Source organism: Homo sapiens, chromosome 9, assembly GCF_000001405.40.
Source record: "Homo sapiens chromosome 9, GRCh38.p14 Primary Assembly".
NCBI lineage: Eukaryota > Metazoa > Chordata > Mammalia > Primates > Hominidae > Homo > Homo sapiens.
In genome coordinates this window covers 98,239,138-98,257,822 of record NC_000009.12, presented here as the reverse complement: position 1 = coordinate 98,257,822, position 18,685 = coordinate 98,239,138, and the positions used below count along the sequence as shown (strand labels likewise).

The following is an 18,685-nucleotide window of genomic DNA, read 5'->3' as shown; positions in this document are numbered from 1 at the left end:
AGGAATGGGGCCAGGCACTGTGGCTCATGCCTGTAATCCCAGCACTTTGGGAGGCCAAGGCCGGTGGATCACAAGGTCAGGAGATCCAGACCATCCTAGCCAACATGGTGAAACCCCGTCTCAACTAAAAATACAAAAATTAGCTGGGTATGGTGACGCGTGTATGTAATCCCAGCTACTCGGGAGGCTGAGGCAGGAGAATGGGAATTGGAGAGCATGCCACTGCACTCCAGCTTGGGCGACAGAGCGAGACTCTGTATCAAAAAAAAAAAAAAAAAAAAAAATTAAAAAAAAAGAAAAGAAAAGAAACTGGCTGGGTGCGGTGGCAGGAGAATCGCTTGAATCCGGGAGGCGGAGGTCACGGTGAGCCGAGATCGCGCCATTGCACTCCAGCCTGCGCAACAAGAGCGAAACTCTGTCTCGAAAAGAAAAGAAATATTTTGTCCCACATTCTGTACTAAGAGCTTCACACATATTATTTTATTTAATTATCAAAACAACTCTAAGGGTAGACAGGTGTAGATCCAGGTTTTGTGGGGACTGGAATTAAACAGCATTAAGGGCCTTCTGATTTTTAAAAAATTACAAAATTATGAACACAAAATTAGGTATGACGATGGTTATTTAGAATGAGAAAATAAATTGTAAATTATAACAAATGAAGAGCTCTCTGGCATTTAGGAGAAATGCTCCCTGGTTGCAACTCCCCACCTGTTAGACTACAAATCCCAGCGACCCATGCAAGTGAACATAAATTTCATTAGCTTCACCGTAAAGTTGTCTGGCGGCGGGTCGGGGGTGGGTAGGAAGAAGTGTTATCTCCATTTTTAGGTTGAGCAAATCACTCAGTATTGCAGAGTGGGAATCTGAAAATTATGCAAATAGACTCTAGAGCCCTCGCCTTTACCCCCACCCTGCTTCTTGTCAATATCACTGAGTGTGCATGAGGGTCTCGTTAACGACGGCTGAGGGGGAGACGATGAAGTAAGAGGAAAGGCTGAACAAAGGGCAAGAGAAAGGCAGAAAGAAGCTCCTAAAGAAAGCTGGACGCAATTGGGCTCCGCAACCCTAATGGAGAAATGCGCCTTAGGAGGGAAGGGGAGAAGTTTAAGGGGAAACAGGTAAAATGAGGCAGAAGTTGAGCAAGTTAGTCAAACCCTAAATTCTTTTACTTATTTACAAAACAGCCTGGCGCGGTGGCTCTCGCCTGTAATTCCAGCACTTTAGGAGGCCGAGGCAGGAGAATCGCTTGAGGCCAGGAGTTCAAGACCCCCCTCTCTGCAAAAAACAATTTAAAAATTAGCCGGGTGTGGTGGTGCGCAGTTGCGGTCTCAGCTACTCGGGAGACTGAGGCGGGAGGATGGCTTGAGACCGGGAGGCGGAGACTGCAGTGAGCTCTGATCGCGCCACTGCACTCCAGCCTGGGTGACAGAGCCAGACCGTCTCTAAAAATAATAATAGCAATAACAAAATAAAAATAAATGTACTGCACCCAACTATGACCCAGGAGTGGCATGGGTTTCCGCAGCGCAGCGGCCGCGCCTGGGCGCCCCAAGCAACACAACCAGCGCTGTCAGGAGGCGAATAGGAGCCAGGACAGAGAGCTGGGGAGGCCACTGCTGTCAGGCGAGGGATAAGAAGGCCGTCCGCGGCGTCACTGACGGGGCTGAAGGAACACCAGGAGAAGAGTGGCAGACAGCTCCGGAGCCGCGCTGCCCGGGCGACGCCGGAAGATGGGCCTCCCAGCGGTCTTCCTTTCAGCCAATGGCCGCGAGATGCGCCGTCCGAGGGTGCCCCGCGCGGCACAGGGAGGGAACAAGCAGCCCATCGGGTGCAAGAAAGCACTATCTTTCTAGGTGACTATGCGAACTACCAGGGAAGTGTAGCTAGGGACAGGCTTCTCTGCCCGCGGTTAACCTAACTCAGTGCCACCACGCCTTTAACCTGAAGCCAGGGAGCACGGCTGCCCTCAGTAAAGATGGCTGACTGGCGCGGAGAAAAAGCCGGAAGCAGCTGGGCTTTGCAGGGAGCCGACTGAGCGCTGCGGGGGCGTGGCCTGGCGGTGGAGGGGCGTGGCCAGCCGCCGTAACCTGGGTTTGCGATCTTTGAGGCGCGCGCACCGCACCCGGTCCCGACTCTGTGGCTTCCTGGGGGCGGGTTCGCCGTCGGCCCCGCCCCCGCCCAGGTGTCTCCCTTTGGGAAGCTGCCCGCCGAGTCTCCGAGATTTGTCCCTGGTGGTCCCGCGGACCCCTCGTCCCTCCGCAGTCTCCGGCTGGCAGCGATGGAGGGCGCTGGGGAGAACGCCCCGGAGTCCAGCTCCTCTGCCCCTGGGTCCGAAGAGTCTGCCAGGGATCCACAGGTGCCGCCTCCGGAGGAAGAATCGGGGGACTGCGCCCGGTCCCTGGAGGCGGTCCCCAAGAAACTCTGTGGGTATTTAAGTAAGTTCGGCGGCAAAGGGCCCATCCGGGGCTGGAAATCCCGCTGGTTCTTCTACGACGAAAGGAAATGTCAGCTGTATTACTCGCGGACCGCTCAGGATGCCAATCCCTTGGACAGCATCGACCTCTCCAGTGCAGTGTTTGACTGTAAGGCGGACGCTGAGGAGGGGATCTTCGAAATCAAGACTCCCAGCCGGGTTATTACCCTGAAGGTAAATTCCTGCAACGACTTTCTCCTTTCCAGCGGCGTGAGGTCCCCTTTTCGCAGGGCAAGGCTGGGCGCGAGTGTGAGGTGGACACAGTAAATTTGGAGTGTCGGTGACGACAGTTCCAAGAACTTTGTGCTTTGCAAAGTGCATTCCCACCCATTTCCTCATTGGGTTCCCACAAGGCAGGGAAGACAGACCCATTTTACGGATCAAGAAACTGAGTCAGAGGGAGATGAAAGGACTGGCTCGAGGTCCATGCGTCTAGAGAGTAGGGTAGCTTGGAATCCCATAGTCTTTCTACCTCTCAGTGCTGAATCAAAACTTTTACTTTTGGGTGTGCCTGACAGTGCAGTTACCTTAACTTTCTTACCTGGGACCTAAGTAAGTCAAAATATGGTCTTTGCAATCCTCTCTCAAGGCCAGGATTCTGATTCCCGTTTCTTGATATTTTGGCCAAGGTCAGTGAATGCTGAGAAGAGACTGGCAGGGATTAGGAAAATAAACACTTAGGTTTCACTGATCAGCCTAGATTGTTCATCTAGGCATGCTTAAACCTGTTTTCCTATCAGCAGCAAGGGGTAGGTTTTATCATCATGTGTAACTGAGAAAGCCTAAAGCAGTAGAAAGGCCACATTCTTTGAAATCAGACGGGCTTGGATTCAAATTGTACATTTGCTACTTACTAGCTGTGTGACCCTGGACAAGTTACTTAACCTCTCAGAACCTAGGTGGTTTGTAAGCATTTGACACATCACAGGCATGTACAAATTGTTGAATTAATTGCATCACCTAGAATACAGCCTGGTACCTAGTGGAGTACTTAATAATTTTTTGTTGCATAAGCACACATGCACACACAAGGTGATGGAACCAAGGTCAGAGTGCTAATGTCAAGAGGAGGTGTCCCATAACTTAATTGGAAAGACAGATCTGGGCTAAGTGTTCTATGGGCATCAGAGAAGAATGTGCCAGGAGATAGCCTTCCCCACCCCATCCCCATCTGTCCACCCCTCCAACCCCAACTCCAGCTAAGTGGGTATCTGTGGATGCCCACGTGTTCAGTTCTCCTTTACTGACTGGACTTGGCGGGTGACCAGGCTGGGGGACTTGGTTAAAATAATGAAACTCAGGAATCCCTGGCCAGGGAAGGCATTTTCGAGGTCATGTGGTTCCCGGGTCTATGTGTCTCTTCCACAGGTTGACTGCTGTATGCAGGGTCTTCAACACATGGTCTTTATAATAGTATTCCATTGTTCCTGGCTCTGCGCTTGGCGGGGTGTGGAGCTAATGCACCCCCACCCCTGGTTCTCTGACAGCTTAAAGTCTGGTGGGAGAGACTGAGGGAGAACCTGCATGCACCCTGAAATGTTCTGTAGAGACATGTGATAAGTCTGTGCAAGAAGGTGTGGTGACAGGAGGAGTCAGTTCCACCAAGTGGAAGGGGCTAGCCAGAAAGGCATCTGGAGGAGGGACACACCCAAGGCTTGAAAGAAGAAATAGGTGGCAAGCAGACAAGAGGGAGAAAGGTATTCCAGGCCAAGAGAGCACCGTGAGCAAATTAGGAAACCATGATACAGCCCTGAGTGTCCAGGCAAATCACATGAGCCAGAAAAACAGAGGGGCCCAAAGGATGGAGTTGAAGAGCAGAGGCCCGAGGGTGGGGAATTGGCAAATTAGGCCAAGTAGCAAAAGCTCAGTCTGACTATTGGATAGAGAAGAAACTAGGGGAAGGGCAAGGCTGGTACTCAGGGAGCCCATCAGAAGGTGATCAGAAGAGAGTGACAGCTGAACTAGAGCTGTGGCTGTGGGGAAGGGGACAATGGAGGTGTCTCGGGATAGTAGGGAAATAGAATGAGGGAGATGTCAGGAGTGGCTGGAGTAACTGGCTGACTGCCTGGTTGGGTCAGTCACTGACAGGAGGGAACTCAGGATGAGGAGCCCATGGAACATCCAGGTACATGTCCCCTGCAGGAGACTCTCAAGTTCCAAGGGGACAGGGACCATGTGTGTTGGCTCACCCCTGTATTCAGTGCCTAGCACTATCTCTGACACATATGTCAATGCTCAGTATACCCTTGTCAAATGAGTTAATAAAATGGGGTATTTGGGTTCGGCTGGAGCTCATCAGCATTAAGGTCATGGGGAAGACCTGGGAGGTGCTGCAGTCTCTCTGAGAGAGTGTATGGAAAGAGAACACTGGTGGGCATCATTTATCTTATTGATACCTGTGTGACAGCCTGAGGGTCACTTTCACAGACTCCCCCCTGCATAGTGCACACCAGTGAACCCCTGAGATAGGGAGTTTGCCTCTGTTGCCATGTAGCCCGCTGTTGTTCTCATGTGGCCTTGATTGCAGGCAGCTCTCTGAGAATCCCCATCCACGCCCGGTGAGCTGTTCATCTTCTGCAGTCCACCTCAGCTGATCTCAGGCCTTCTTTATGAAGCCACTAATCTCCTGGCCATAAAATCCAACTTCTAGACCAGGGTTATGGGACTAGTTCTACCACCACATGCCTGGGCAACTTCAGAGGTTTAGTTTCTCCATCTGTAGAAAGGGGTGCTCACTCCTGCCTTGCCTCCCTCCTGAAGAATCCAGGAGTTATTGGATGTGAAAGTGGATGTTTGGACCAACCGCCAGCCAGTGCTGGGAGACTAATGACCAGCATTTACCATGAACTTGTTTGGAGGGCCAGAGCACCTGGAAGGTGCCACCATGTTGTCACATGTGCATGTGGCTTTCCAGTCTCCATTCATATCCATGATTCCAGTGCATCCCCAAGGCAAGGATTACTCCTATTCCACAAAAGGCAGCAAAGACTTGGAGATGTCACACAGAGATAGTGATGGTACCAGGACCCCACGCATATCAGAATTCAGTGCACCTCCCCCTCTCACAGCGCCTCCAAATTCCTCTATCCAGTGAGCACATTTTGAGCACCTACTGTGTGTCAGATACTGTGTGATACCCTTGTCTCATTTCATCCTCATCATTGTCCTATGCAATGAGACTTATTGTCACCAGAGTACAGATGAGGAAACTGAGGCCCAGAGCAGCTAAGGAACCGCTGAGTGGGAGACCAGAGCCTGATGATCTTCTGTGGCCAGGAAGCATACATACCTACAGTGACCCCCTTTTTTTTTTCCTGGGAAAGAAAGCATTCCTAAGCCTCCCACAACCTTCCCCTCTTCCTGCACCCAGTGCCACCCTTCAGGCACAGGGCCTTGCCAACTAATCCTTGTGCTTCTCAGGCCGCCACCAAGCAAGCGATGCTGTACTGGCTGCAGCAGCTGCAGATGAAGCGCTGGGAATTCCACAACAGCCCGCCGGCACCTCCTGCCACCCCTGATGCCGCCCTGGCTGGGAATGGGCCCGTCCTGCACCTCGAGCTAGGTACCCAATGGGCTACCCTCCTGCCTGCACACCCAGGGCTCTGGTGATTAAGCCTTTACCCTCCTGCTGGGAATGAGCGGGAGGAGCCCTCTGCTAAGGAAGCAGAGAGCCAGGGATATGACTCAGGATTAGTTAGGGCAAGAATTTGGGCTGAGGCCAGGCTGCCTGGGTTCAAATCCTAGTCCTATATAACTTTAGGCAAGTTGTTTAACCTTTCTGAGCTTGTTTCCTTCCCCATAAGATGAGGTTTATAAATTATCCCTACTTCTTAGGGATGTTTTGAGGATTAAATGAATTCATATACCTAAAATGGTTAGAACAATGCCTGCACATGGTCAGAACCCAATACTTGTGAGCTACTATTGTGATGACTATTATGGAAGGCCTCAAGAAATCAAACTTTCACAGAATTGCTGTGAGGAGGGTTAATAAGAAAATGCAGTGTTGTAGATTTGTGTCGTGAGTTGGGTAGATCAGTGACTTTTTTTTTTTTTGAGATGGAGTCTCACTCTGTTGCCCAGGCTGGAGTGCAATGGTGCAATCTCGGCTCACTGCAACTTCCGCCTCCCGGGTTTAAGCAATTCTCTGCCTCAGCCTCCCGAGGCAGCCTCAGCTGGGATTACAGGCACGTGCCACCACGCCCGGCTAATTTTTGTATTTTTAGTAGAGATGGGGTTTCACCATCTTGGCCAGGCTGATCTTGAACTCCTGACCTCGTGATCTACCCGCCTCAGCCTCCCAAAGTGCTGGGATTACAGGCATGAGCCACCATGCCTGGCCAGATCAATTATTTTTATCGCTGGTGTTCCCATAAGATAGGATCCTTTTCCCCCAGATGACTCACAAATGAAGTTTCTTGATCCCAAATCCTGGATCATCCCAACGTGGAAGAGTCCAGGAGACCACACCCTCCCACCCCCATGCTGCAGCCAGGAACATGATTGGCAGGTTTTAGGATCGGTATGGACCACCTCACAGCTGCCCCTGCAAGAATGTGGAAAATCAGGTCCCAGTACAAAGCCACACTGTGTCTAAAGTGCTTCATGTTCAGTTGACAGGGAGGCCAAATAGGCAAGGGCAGGACTTGTTACCAAGTACCCCCTGGACCTCTGTACCTGGGTGCTTTGCATGTCCAAAGCTGAGTACATCTGCCCCAACCCTTCTCCCCATTTCCCTTCCCTCCTCTCAGTAGATTTCCCCTCTTGTACCCACTAGTAGTTGCCCTCCACCCTTCCTCAATTCCAGCCAGTGAGTCCAGTCAATCACTGTGCTGGCCATTTTTGCCCTCTGACCCATACATCAGACCCAGGCCTTTCTCGCTGCCACTGCCCAGGTCACACCTCATCTCTCAAAGTCACAGTGGCCTCCTCTCCAGTATCCCCATGTGGAGGCCATGCCAGAACCCATCCCCTTCTCTGCAGCCTGAGTGAGCTTTCTTAAACCTGACCCTGAACCCGGTCACTGCCATCCAATGCCACCCACCACCTCACTCCTGCACTCAGGGCTCATCCCTCCTGATCTCACCTCTGCCTGCTCCCCCAGTCCCCACCTTGGGCTTGATGCTTCGGCAGAGTCTCTGCTCTCTCTCCTTTGCCTGGCAAATTCTTGCTTATTCTCTATGGCCAAGCTCCAGCATTGCCTTCTCTTCTTGCCAGCCTCCTCCTGGAAGCCTTCTCAGACTTTGTCAGCTGGATTCTCTCTGGGCCCTCAACACTTTTTTCAAACACTTCAAGGGAGACCTGTTCCATTGTGTTCTATTAATAATTACCCCCGTCCTTGTCCATCTCCACCCGCTAGCCCTTAAGGGTGGGGACTTTTTTTTGGTTGCCTGTGTCACCTCCCTGGTGTCCTGCCTGGCACATTGGATATTTGTGGAATGAATGTGTAAGTCAATACACTAAACTTTATAATTAAATGAGGAAAGGAATGTAAACCCCTTAGCATAACCTCAGGCACATAGTAAGTGCTCAATACATGGGAGTTGTCCTAATAATATTGTTATTCTATGTCTATATGTCTGTGCATAGAACACACCCATGCTATTACTATCATAATAGTATATACACAAACATATATAGGTGCTGTTACTAGTATAATAACTGTTCCTTTTATTCTTAATAATCATTAGTAATTTCTTTGGAGTTTCTTTTGAAGGGTTTCTTTGCTTCTGCTCCAGCCCCCACTCCCCATCTGCCAGGGAGCCAGACAACCCTGGTTTTGCAGAAAACTGCAGCCTGGGTTGATGCTGCTGCAAAGATCAGCATCAGACTAGAGGCCAGCAGAAACCTCTGCAATAATAGAATTCCTGTGTCTTAACTGAAATTTGAAGAAGCAGATTGTGGAAGAACGGCTCTGGGATCCTCAGACCTCTTCTGCTGTGGGGAACCTGTTGCAGGTTCTTTAATTGTGCGGCTTTGCTTCAGCACACACGGCGGGCCTCTTCCAGGCCAGCCCCTGCTGTGGGCATTGGAGAAAGGGGTGGAGTTGCTGTGATGACCTGGGTTCTAGTCTCCTGAGGAGGATGCTGCCTGAGACTCAGGAAGCAGGGACGTGAGCTTCTCCTCTTGAAACCTTTCCTCGCCTTGCAGCAAGCCTGCACTCTCCTCCCAGACCCAGGGCCTGGCAAAACCTTCCCAGCCCACCTAGAAAGATGTTTCTGGTGTCTTGGGCAAGTCAGCAAGGCCTGGATTAGCCACGTGGAGCAGGCTGCCCCACCTCGCCCGCCTCCACCCTTCCTGAGGAAGCAGCGGCCCGCTCCCATGTCGTTGAAAACCTCCTGACCCATGTCTGACTTTGAGTCAGAGACTTCTGGTAAAAAGTGTCTCGTCACTGCTCTTGAGCAATCTGCAAGGCATGTTCTCTCCTGCTTTTAAGGATTTACAACTTTATTTTATGCTTTACCTAAACAACGGTCTCCGCAGAGCCAAGAAAGATCAAAGGGAACCCACGAGACTTATAATAATAAGAATAGCAAGTTGCCACAGTAAGCTACAGTTTACAAAGGACCTGTATAAATGTGTACTGTCATGAAATATGCCTGCTGCCCCAACACTTTACATGCGTCATCTTATTTAATCCTCACAATAATTTTATAGAGTAGTTAGTGCTATTTCCATTTTATAGACCAGGAAACTAAGGCTCAAAGAGGTCAAGAGACCTGTCCTAGGTCATGTAGTAAGAAAACATCAGTGCTGAAATTCAAACCCTAGGCTGCAGACTCATAACCTGCCCTCCCAAAGCTAAGGGGCAGCCAGGCACTCGTCCAGGGCCCTCTAGGGAGGCAGTGACCTCCTGGGTCAGGCCCTTTTTTTGTCTAGGCAGCGCCTTCTTCCCACTGGTGGTGGGGCAACCCTCAGAGCTCACGTAAAAGGAGAATTACAAATAAATGCTGCTGAAAATCCTCTGTGTGGTCACTCATGGAGGGCATTTCTCCAGGGTGCCCCAGACTGCAGCCTCAGGTCATTGATTCTGCCTCCTGTGGGAAGTGCTGGTCTCTGTTGGGGCATCGCCATCCTGTGCCGCCCGTGCCTTGCACACTCCTTTGCATTGGGAGCTTGTGCCTTCATGGGCAGCCCCTCCTGTCTTAGATGATCTGCTTGTTAGAAAGGCTGCTCTGATAAGCCACATTGTTTAATGGGAAAAGCAAAAGTAGGGACGTGTTTGAGTCTATAACGGTGTCACCTGCTAGCTTTGACTTTGGCCACAAAACTCAACCTCTCTGAGTGGCTATTTCCTCATTGGTAAAACCTACCAGTGATGACAACCCCCAGGACTTGGCTCTGTGTAGTCTCAGAGTTGATCTAGGCCCACAGGTGGCACTTACAAGAAAACAGATATTAGCAGTTAGGGAAGTACTGCTAAGATATCAAAATCTTAGAGAAACTGTTAAGTTTTTTTGGTTTGCTTTGAATGAAGGAGAATAAGATGGTTAAAATATTGATAAATAAAAAAATTTTATTTTTTTCGAATCAGTTCAGAGTCTGGCTTAAAGGTTACTTTGAAAGATGTGAGTCCACAATATGGGGCTTTATGGCTTTTTTTTTTTTTTTTTTTTTTGAGACGGAGTCTCGCTCTGTCACCCAGGCTGGAGTACAGTGGCGCGATCTTGGCTCACTGCAACCTCCGTCTCCTGGGTTCAAATGATTCTCCTGCCTCAGCCTCCCAAGTAGCTGGGACTATAGGTGCGTGCCACCACGCCTGGCTAATTTTTTTGTATTTTTATTAGAGACGGAGTTTCACTGTGTTACCTGGGATGGTCTCAATCTCCTGACCTCGTGCTCCACCCACCTCCGCCTCCCAAAGTGCTGGGATTACAGGCGTGAGCCATCGTGCCCAGCCCAGCTTTACGGCTTTTTAAACATTTTTGTATACATTAACTCTGAAGGAGACAAGGTAGAGAGTATCCTTCTTGTTTTTTTTTTTGTTTGTTTGTGTTTGTTTTTGTTTTTTTTTTTTGAGACGGAGTCTCGCCCTGTCACACAGGCTGCTGGAATGCAGTGGTGTGATCTCGGCTCACTGCAACCTCCGCCTCCCAGGTTCGAGCGATTCTCCTGCCTCAGCCTCCCAAGTAGCTGGGACTACAGGCACACGTCACCACGCCCAGTTTGTTTTTGTATTTTTAGTAGAGATGGGTTTCCCCACGTTGGCCAGGCTGATCTTGAACTCCTGACCTCAGGTGATCTGCCTGCCTTGGCCTCCCAAAGTGCTGGGATTACAGGCATGAGCCACTGCGCCCGGCCCTTGATTTTTTTTTTTTTTTACTGATTTGCAACCAGGTCGCAACACCCTCCCCATGGAAACAGGGCCCAGCTACAGATCTTCTACCCAAAGCCAGGTTTGGTTCTTCAGCCTCCTGCTCAAACCCCTAGGAGCTCTGGTTTCCATCGTGATGAGATCCAACCACTTACCCACACCCCTTTCTGTTTGGCCTTCCCCACCCCATCTTCCCAGCTTCCTCCCCGCAAACTCAGCTCTGGGTCTGAAACCCCTTACTGTTGCCTGTATGCTTGGCATAGGAAGATCTTTCCTGGTTCCTCCTGCAGATTCAAATCAACCCCAGTCCTTAAGGCCCAGCTGCAGTGCCCCTCCTCCAGGAAGTTTCCCCTGACCTGGGTTGGAAAGACTCTGTCTCCACCTCCCAGAACTGCCCCTACCCCAGCACCTGACCCCAGGTGTGCACTTTTTCCCCTTCCCTGCTCCTTAGGCTTTGAGTTTCTGCTTTTATTCTTCTCACTTTCTCCAGCCCCACTCACAAGCCTCAGGGTAAACACCCAGTCTGTGTTTGGTGAGAGGATTCATGGAAGGGAGGGCCTCAAAGATCTCGCATTTGAGGAGTGTGAGTGCTGGCCTACCTGCCAGATCTGATGGAGCCTGTTAGGAATTTACAAATACACTGTCTGTTGTTTGAACTACTGCTAAGTTTCTTTTCTTAGGTAGGTTGAACAGCTCCCCCTGACCCCCATCATTATATTTAATATTTTTATACCCACACCCTTTTTGCAGATATAGTGCAAAAACAAATCTCCGCTCCTAAATGTTTCAGTCTCCCAGTAAGAGGGCTCCAAGTGGAAAGTGTCTGCTGCCCTGGTAGGTCTCAGGGGCTGTCTAATCAAGCTCATACCAACCCATAAGTGGTCCTGGCTCTTTTCTCCTTTTTCTAACACTCAAAGTTAATTTCTAAATATTTCACCTCCCCTCTCTTATACTTCACATAATTTCCTTGGCCTTGAAAGCTTGCTTAACATTAAACATTTTCAAGTCACTCACTGTAGAAGAATCATTGTTTAAACAGAACATTTGGAAGACTAAAAAGAAAAAGAACCTGTAATCCTATCACCCAGAGGCAGCCAGTATTAACCTTATGTTATGACCTCCTGCCTGCCTTTTATTTAAACACATTTCAGATCATATAATAATATAAAATGTCCTACTTTGTTTTTTGATACTCAGTAGTGTGACCCTAATATTTGCGTGTGTTTTTAAAATCTCTGTATAAACATCTATTTTTGATAAATACATATTCTTTTTCTGTTTATAAAGTAACCCATGTTTATTGTAGAAAATTTGGAAAAAAAACAGTAAAATACAATGAGAATAGCCTGCTCACTGCAAATCCCATCACGCAGCTCAAACCACTGTTAAGATTGCGGAGTATATTTCTTTGAGACTTTTTCTGTACAATTGAGATTACACTATAACCCCAATTTTTTTTTTCTTTTGAGGCGGGGTCTTACTCTGTTGCCCAGGCTGGAATGCAGTGGCACCATCTCCGCTCACTGCAACCTCCACCTCCTGGGCTCAAGTGATCCACCCACCTCAGCCTCCCAAGTAGCTGGGACTATAGGCACGCACCACCACACTCAGCTAATTTTTCTGTTTTTTGTAGAGATGGGGTTTTGCCATGCTGCTCAGGTGGTCTCAAACTTTCAGCTCAAGTGACCCACCCAGCTCAGCCTCCCAAAGTGGCGGGATTACAGGTGTGAGCCACAACATCCAGCCTTCCAATTTTTTGTTTGTTTTTGTTTTGTTTCTTTGTTTTGTTTTTTGAGATGGAGTCTCACTCTGTCGCCCAGGCTGAAGTGCAGTGGCACGATCTAGGCTCACTGCAAGCTCCGCCTCCTGGGTTGAGGCCATTCTCCTGCCTCAGCCTCCCAAGTAGCTGGGACTACAGGCGCCTGCAACCATGCCTGGCTAATTTTTTGTATTTTTAGTAGAGATGGGGTTTCACCGTGTTAGCCAGGACAGTCTCGATCTCCTGACCTCATGATCTGCCTGCCTCAGCCTCCCAAAGTGCTGGGATTACAGGTGTGAGCCACTGCGCCCGGCCCAATTTTTTTTTAATCTGGCTTTTTCCACTTAATATTATATTCCATACAGGTTTCCCTGTTTATAAGTATTTATTCACATTGTTTTGAATGATTAATATTCCGTCATATGAAGACATTCTGATATACTTAACCTATTCCCAAGTTTTTAGATCTTTTCCAACTTGAGGCTATTGTGACAATGCTAGAAGGAACGAACCTCTTGGCACATAAAGTTTTGTCTGCACTTCCATCTTTAGGATGGACTCTCAGATGTAGAATTAACTGTAGGTCTGCCTTTTTTTTTTTTTTTTTTTTTTTTGAGACGGAGTTTCACTCTTGTTGCCCAGGCTGGAGTGCAATGGCGCGATCTCGGCCCACTGCAACCTCCGCCACCCAGGTTCAAGCGATTCTCCTGCCTCAGCCTCCTGAGTAGCTGGGATTGCAAGAATGCGCCACCACGCCTGGCTAATTTTGTGTTTTTAGTAGAGACAGGGTTTCTTCATGTTGGTCAGGCTGGTTTCTTAACTCCCCACCTCAGGTGATCCGCCCATCTCAGCCTCCCAAATTGCTGAGATTACAGGCATGAGCCACCGCTCCCAGCCAGGTCTGCATATTTTTAAGGGGTTTGCAGGAGGGCTGTACCAGCAAAATGCATCATTTTACTGGCTGCAGAACATTTTGTGAAAAGCCTATTTTGCTGCTGTTAACCTACAGGGAGGGCCTGCTTGCCCCTGCAACTCTCCAACTCCAGCCTGTTCCCAGTCAGGGCTGCACCCATAGCATCCCACCTGACCTGTCTTTCCAAGTGCAGTGACCCAGCTGATGGATTTCCCTTTTCTTTGTTCCCAGGGCAAGAAGAGGCAGAGCTGGAGGAGTTCCTGTGCCCTGTGAAAACACCCCCTGGGCTAGTGGGCGTGGCAGCTGCCTTGCAGCCCTTCCCTGCCCTTCAGAATATTTCCCTCAAGCACCTGGGGACTGAAATACAGTAAGTGCCAGTGGAGCTGAGGGGCTAGCCAAGCTGCAGGCAGCCCCTTCAGTGGAGCTTGACCCACTGTGATTCTCCTGCAGGGAGATGGGCCCCGGGAGAGGGTTATGGGCTTTATTTTCAATTAATCACATCATCACTTTAAAATATTACATTTGGCCGGGTGTGGTGGCTTATGCCTATAACCCCAGCACTTTGGGAGGCCGAGGTGGGCGGATCACTGGAGGTCAGGAGTTCGAGACCAGCCTGGCCAACATAGCGAAACCCCTTCTCTACTAAAAATACAGTAATTAGCCGGGCATGGTGGCAGGTGCCTATAATCCCAGCTACTCAGGAGGCTGAGGCAGGAGAATCGCTTGAACCCAGGAGGCAGAGGTTGCAGTGAGCCGAGATTGCACCATTGCACTCCAGCCTGGGCGACAAGAGTGAGACTCTGTCTCAAAAAAAAAAAAAAAAAAATACATTCATTGGAAAAGTGGTACATGTTCATTATAGGAAATCAGAAACATCTGGAAGGGTATAAAAAATTACCCACTGGACGAGGTGGCTCACAGCCTGTAGTCCCAGCTACTAGGGAGGCTGGAGCAGGAGGATCACTTGATTATAAGTAAAGTATTTTTTTTAATTATCCATAATCCTACCACCCAGACAAATATTCTTAGCATTTGGTATATTTCTTTCCTCTACATTTTCTATATACATATTGCATAAATGAGATCATATTGAATGTGATGTAGTGATGGTTTCACAAATGTCTATACATGTCAAAAGCATCAAATTACTCATTTTTAACTTGTGCAATTTATTGTGTCAATCATATCTCAACTACTTTGTTATTTAATAATATATTATATATATATACCTTACTATTGTCAGGCTTTGTTTTAGATAATTTCTAAGAAGGTAGCAGTATGGACCAGGCGTCGTGGTTCATGCCTGTAATTGCAACACTTTGGGAGGCCAAGACAGGAGGATCACTTGAGGCCAGGAGTTCAAAACCAGCCTGGGCAACTTCTGAGACCCTGCCTCTACAATAAGTAAAATGAAGTTAGCCAGGCATAGTGGCATGTGCCTGTAATCCCAAGCCCAGGAAGTCAAGGCTGCAGTAAGCCATGATCATACCACTTCATCCTAGCCTGAGCAACAGAGTGAGACCCTGTCTCAAAAAAAAAAAAAAAAAAAAAAAAAAAGGCAGCAGTGTGGCCTGGGCTTTGGAAGCAAACTGCCTGGGTTTGTATCCTGGCTCCACCAGTCATGGCTGTGCTGCTGTTGGCAAGTTGTTTCTCAATGCTTTTCTTACCTTGTTAGTAAATGTAAATACAACAGCGCTTGCCTTATAAGCTTAGCATGGTAATTAAATCGTTTAATGCATGCAGCCTGCTTTAGAACTGTGCTTGGCAGTCTTAAGCATGAAATGCATATTAGCTGCTGCTGCTATTGTTACTCTAGTTGAAGGGATGGAAACTTTCAGGAATTCAAACTATATCCAATAGTGATCCTGTTTGGGCGTTTCTTTTCTTTTCTTTTCTTCTTTTCTTTTTTTTTTTTTTTTGGAGATGGAGTCTTGCACTGTTGCCCGGGCTGGAGAGCAGTGGCGCGATCTCAGCTCGCTGCAACCTCTGCTTCCCGTGTTCAAGTGATTCTCCTGCCTCAGCTTCCATAGCAGCTAGGATTACAGGCACCCACCACCACGCCCGGCTGACTTTTTGTATTTTTAGTAGAGATGGGATTTCACTATGTTGGCCAGGCTGGTCTCAAACTCCTGACCTCGTGGTTTGCCCACCTCGGCCTCCCAAAGTGCTGGGATTACAGACGTGAGCCACCACGCCCAGCCTGGGCATTTGTGTTCCATGTGGACTTCAGATGAACTTAGAGCTCTTAGAAGGCAAAATAGATTGCTCACGGGACTTTGATAAGGGACCCCTGGTTCTGTGTGACTCAGGCAGAGTATTTCCCTCTGCTGGCTTCAGAGTCTGAATTTGCTTGAGTGACTAGGAGGGTGGTGACGTCCTTTCCAGGAGAGAATCAGGTTTTAGGGAAAAGACAATGAGTGTTCTTTGGGGTCTGCTGGCTGGAGGTAGAGCTCCCCCACAGGCATTTGGATGGAATGACCTGGAGCCCAGGAGAGAGATCTAAGCTTGAGAGAGAGGCTTGATGGGTATAGGGCATGGTTGAGCCCTCCAGGGTGAGTGGATGTGGAGGGCACCCTGCAGGAGATCACCTGTTGGGAGGAGCTACAGGGAACTGGGTGCATTGGGAGCATGCTGGGGTAGAGAGGGGGCCTGAGAAGTCCAGCTATCCAGCCAGCATGCACCCAGGGCAGTCTCACCAATATTAAACTGAGTCCATGCCTGATAGAGGCCACAGCAGCAGAAGCAGAACATAGAAAATGCAGAGACCAAGAAAGGAAGGAAGCTTCAGAGGGTCATAGAGCAACTTCCCTCCTGTAACTTGTCTTGGCCCACAGAAAATGCCAGGCTACTTTGCAAGAGAAGTGCCCTGGGCTGCTGAGAGCCCCAGACTACTTGGTGAGATGAGAGCTGCCTTTGTGTCCTACACCCTTGTGCTCTGGCTGGTCTTGGAACTCACTGTTGGTGCTGCCATGAACCCGGGTCATACTCAGGGAAGGGGGTAGGGAGCTTCCTGAGCACTGTGTTGGGTGCTTTATGCTCTCGAGTTCTCTAGACAAACCTGTGAAGTGGTATCATCACATGGTTAAGTCCTCAAACCATGGAGTTAGACATCCAGGGCTGCTCAGCCCCACTGCCTACTTGCTCTGTAGTTTTGGTTACTTATCCTCTTTGAATCTCAGTTCTCTCTGTCCAATGAGGGTGAGAATAGTATTTACTTCATTGGTCTTGGGAGGATTAAGTGAGTGGAATGCATCATAGTGTTTCACTTAGAATTTGAGCCATGGAAGGGTCCATCCAGTGTTCATTATGGATATGTTTGACATCCCCATTGCAGATGAGGAAACTGAGGCTCAGGGAGGATAACTAGCTTTCCCAAGGTTATCCTTTCAGAACAAGTCTTTAGGATCACCACTCCCATGCTGGCCAGGCCTTGCAGACCTGGAATTAAACCTAAACAGAAAATGGTCCATGAACTGCTCCAAGCAAAGTTGATAAATTTATGAAATGGAAACAGCTCTTCCAAGCATAGTGGTTTAGCTGGGTGGTGACCAGCCGGACCATTTCAGAAGGTAGCGAGCTTCCCATTCCCAGAGATGTGTGCTAGGGCTTAGAAGGCCTTTCGCTGCCCTAAAGTTGTGGTTTCTGTGCTTTCCCACACCCCAGGGGTGACTGCTTATCAGACCCAGGACATGTCAGGGAGGGAGCAGTTCCTGGTTAAAGTGTGGGCAGCAGTGATGATTACCCCACCTAGCCAGTGCCTCTAGCTATAGGGATATGGCCCTGTGTCCCTCTCCAACTCATGTGACTTGTGGTTTGTGAAATCCATGTAACAGGGCTCAGCACAGGACCCAGCATAAAGTGATGCTCAGTAAATAGTAGTGCCTATCATGATCATCATGATTCTCTTCAATGGAACTACATTCTTGTATTTTCAGATGGGGAAGGCAAGACTGGGAAAGGGAAGTCACTAGGCCAAGGAGCCAGGGGCTCTCCTTATAACAGGACACCATAGTAATTACAGCAAAAGATCAGGTATTGGGAGTGCTGAGTTCTAATTTCTTCTCTGCTCTTAATTCAACCGATGAATTTTTCCTTCTGTCACTCAGCTGTACTATCCATGAAAGTATAATCTCATTATTTTCTTATTCTGGGCCCAACTATACAAAACACACACACACACACACACACACACACCACACAAACACACCTGGATCTTGTTTTAAACTAAGTTTGAGATCAATAGAGATTCTTTGAAAAGAGCAACAAAGTTGACAAACCTTTAGCTAGGCAGACTGAGAAAAGAGAGAAAACTCAAATTACTAAAGTCAAGAACAAAAGAGAGCATTGCTACCAACCTTACAGAAACAAAAAGGATTATATGAGGAATACTATGAACAACTATGTGCCAACAAATTTGATAACTTAGATGAAAATGGACAAATTCCTAGAAAGACACATTTACTAAAATATACGCAAGAAGAAAATCTAAAAAGACCTAATTACATCGTAGAGATTGAATTAGTAAAATAAATAAATAAATAACTACACATGAAGAAAAACTCAGGACCAAATGACTTCACTGGTGAAGTCCACCAAATATTTAAAGAAAAATTAATACCAATTCTTCACAGATTCTTCCAAAATATAAAAGAGGAGGGGACACATCCCCCAACTCATTTTATAAGACTGATATTATTCTGATACCAAAACCAAACAAAGACATCATAAGAAAGATACAGACCAATATCCCTTATGAAGGCAGATGTAAAAATTCTCAACAAAATACTAGCGAACTGAATTCAGCAGCATATAAAAAGGATTAATCCACGATAAAGTAGGATTTATCTTAGGAATACATGGTTGGTTTCACATCTGAAATTCAATTTATGTAATACACTACATTAATAAGAAGAAGGTGAAAAACCACATCATTTCAGTAGACTGAGAAAAAGCATTTGACAATATTCAACATCTCTTTGTGATAAAACCTCTCACAAAGACTGGAAAGGGCCAGGCGCAGTGGATCTTGCCTGTAAACCCGGAACTTGGGGAGGACAAGGTGGGAGGATTGGTTGAGGCCAGGAGTTTGAGACCAGCCTACAAAAAATTGTAGTGAACCCCATCTCTACAAAAAATTAGCTGGGTGTGGTGGCACACACCTGTAGTCCCACCTACTGTGTAGGCTGAGGTGGAAGGATCACTTGAGCCCAGGAGGTCAAGACT

At 48.1% G+C, this 18,685-nt stretch overlaps 1 protein-coding gene across 7 annotated transcripts in view, besides 4 other annotated features; it reads left to right on the top strand.

Moving 5' to 3' along the window:
• Positions 1,450 to 1,939: an enhancer, noted in NCBI's record as "active region_28695". NCBI's record gives its function as "activates an Ori minimal core promoter by ATAC-STARR-seq in GM12878 lymphoblastoid cells {active_cell/tissue: GM12878}" and the evidence as "EXISTENCE:reporter gene assay evidence [ECO:0000049][PMID:35858748]".
• Positions 2,110 to 2,159: a silencer, noted in NCBI's record as "silent region_20119". NCBI's record gives its function as "represses an Ori minimal core promoter by ATAC-STARR-seq in GM12878 lymphoblastoid cells {active_cell/tissue: GM12878}" and the evidence as "EXISTENCE:reporter gene assay evidence [ECO:0000049][PMID:35858748]".
• TBC1D2 (TBC1 domain family member 2) overlaps positions 2,174 to 18,685 on the top strand; it is a 56,652-nt gene continuing 40,140 nt past the window's right edge. For 6 of the 7 annotated variants that reach the window (XR_929824.4, NM_018421.4, NM_001410988.1 and 3 more), the window contains exons 1-3: positions 2,174 to 2,650; positions 5,897 to 6,038; positions 13,694 to 13,829. Coding sequence is in view for 5 of the 7 variants with exons in the window: in NM_018421.4 (NP_060891.3) it covers positions 2,282 to 2,650; positions 5,897 to 6,038; positions 13,694 to 13,829 (647 nt within the window). In the remaining 2 variants the exon portion in view is untranslated. The remainder of the gene's footprint in view (positions 2,651 to 5,896; positions 6,039 to 13,693; positions 13,830 to 18,685) is intronic. The other variant, NR_051978.2, reaches the window with a different exon arrangement.
• Positions 8,160 to 9,076: an enhancer, noted in NCBI's record as "H3K27ac-H3K4me1 hESC enhancer chr9:101011029-101011945 (GRCh37/hg19 assembly coordinates)". NCBI's record gives its function as "activates a minimal SCP1, AML or CMV promoter by ChIP-STARR-seq in primed H9 embryonic stem cells {active_cell/tissue: H9 hESC(primed)}" and the evidence as "EXISTENCE:reporter gene assay evidence [ECO:0000049][PMID:30033119]".
• Positions 9,077 to 9,994: an enhancer, noted in NCBI's record as "H3K27ac-H3K4me1 hESC enhancer chr9:101010111-101011028 (GRCh37/hg19 assembly coordinates)". NCBI's record gives its function as "activates a minimal SCP1, AML or CMV promoter by ChIP-STARR-seq in naive H9 embryonic stem cells {active_cell/tissue: H9 hESC(naive)}" and the evidence as "EXISTENCE:reporter gene assay evidence [ECO:0000049][PMID:30033119]".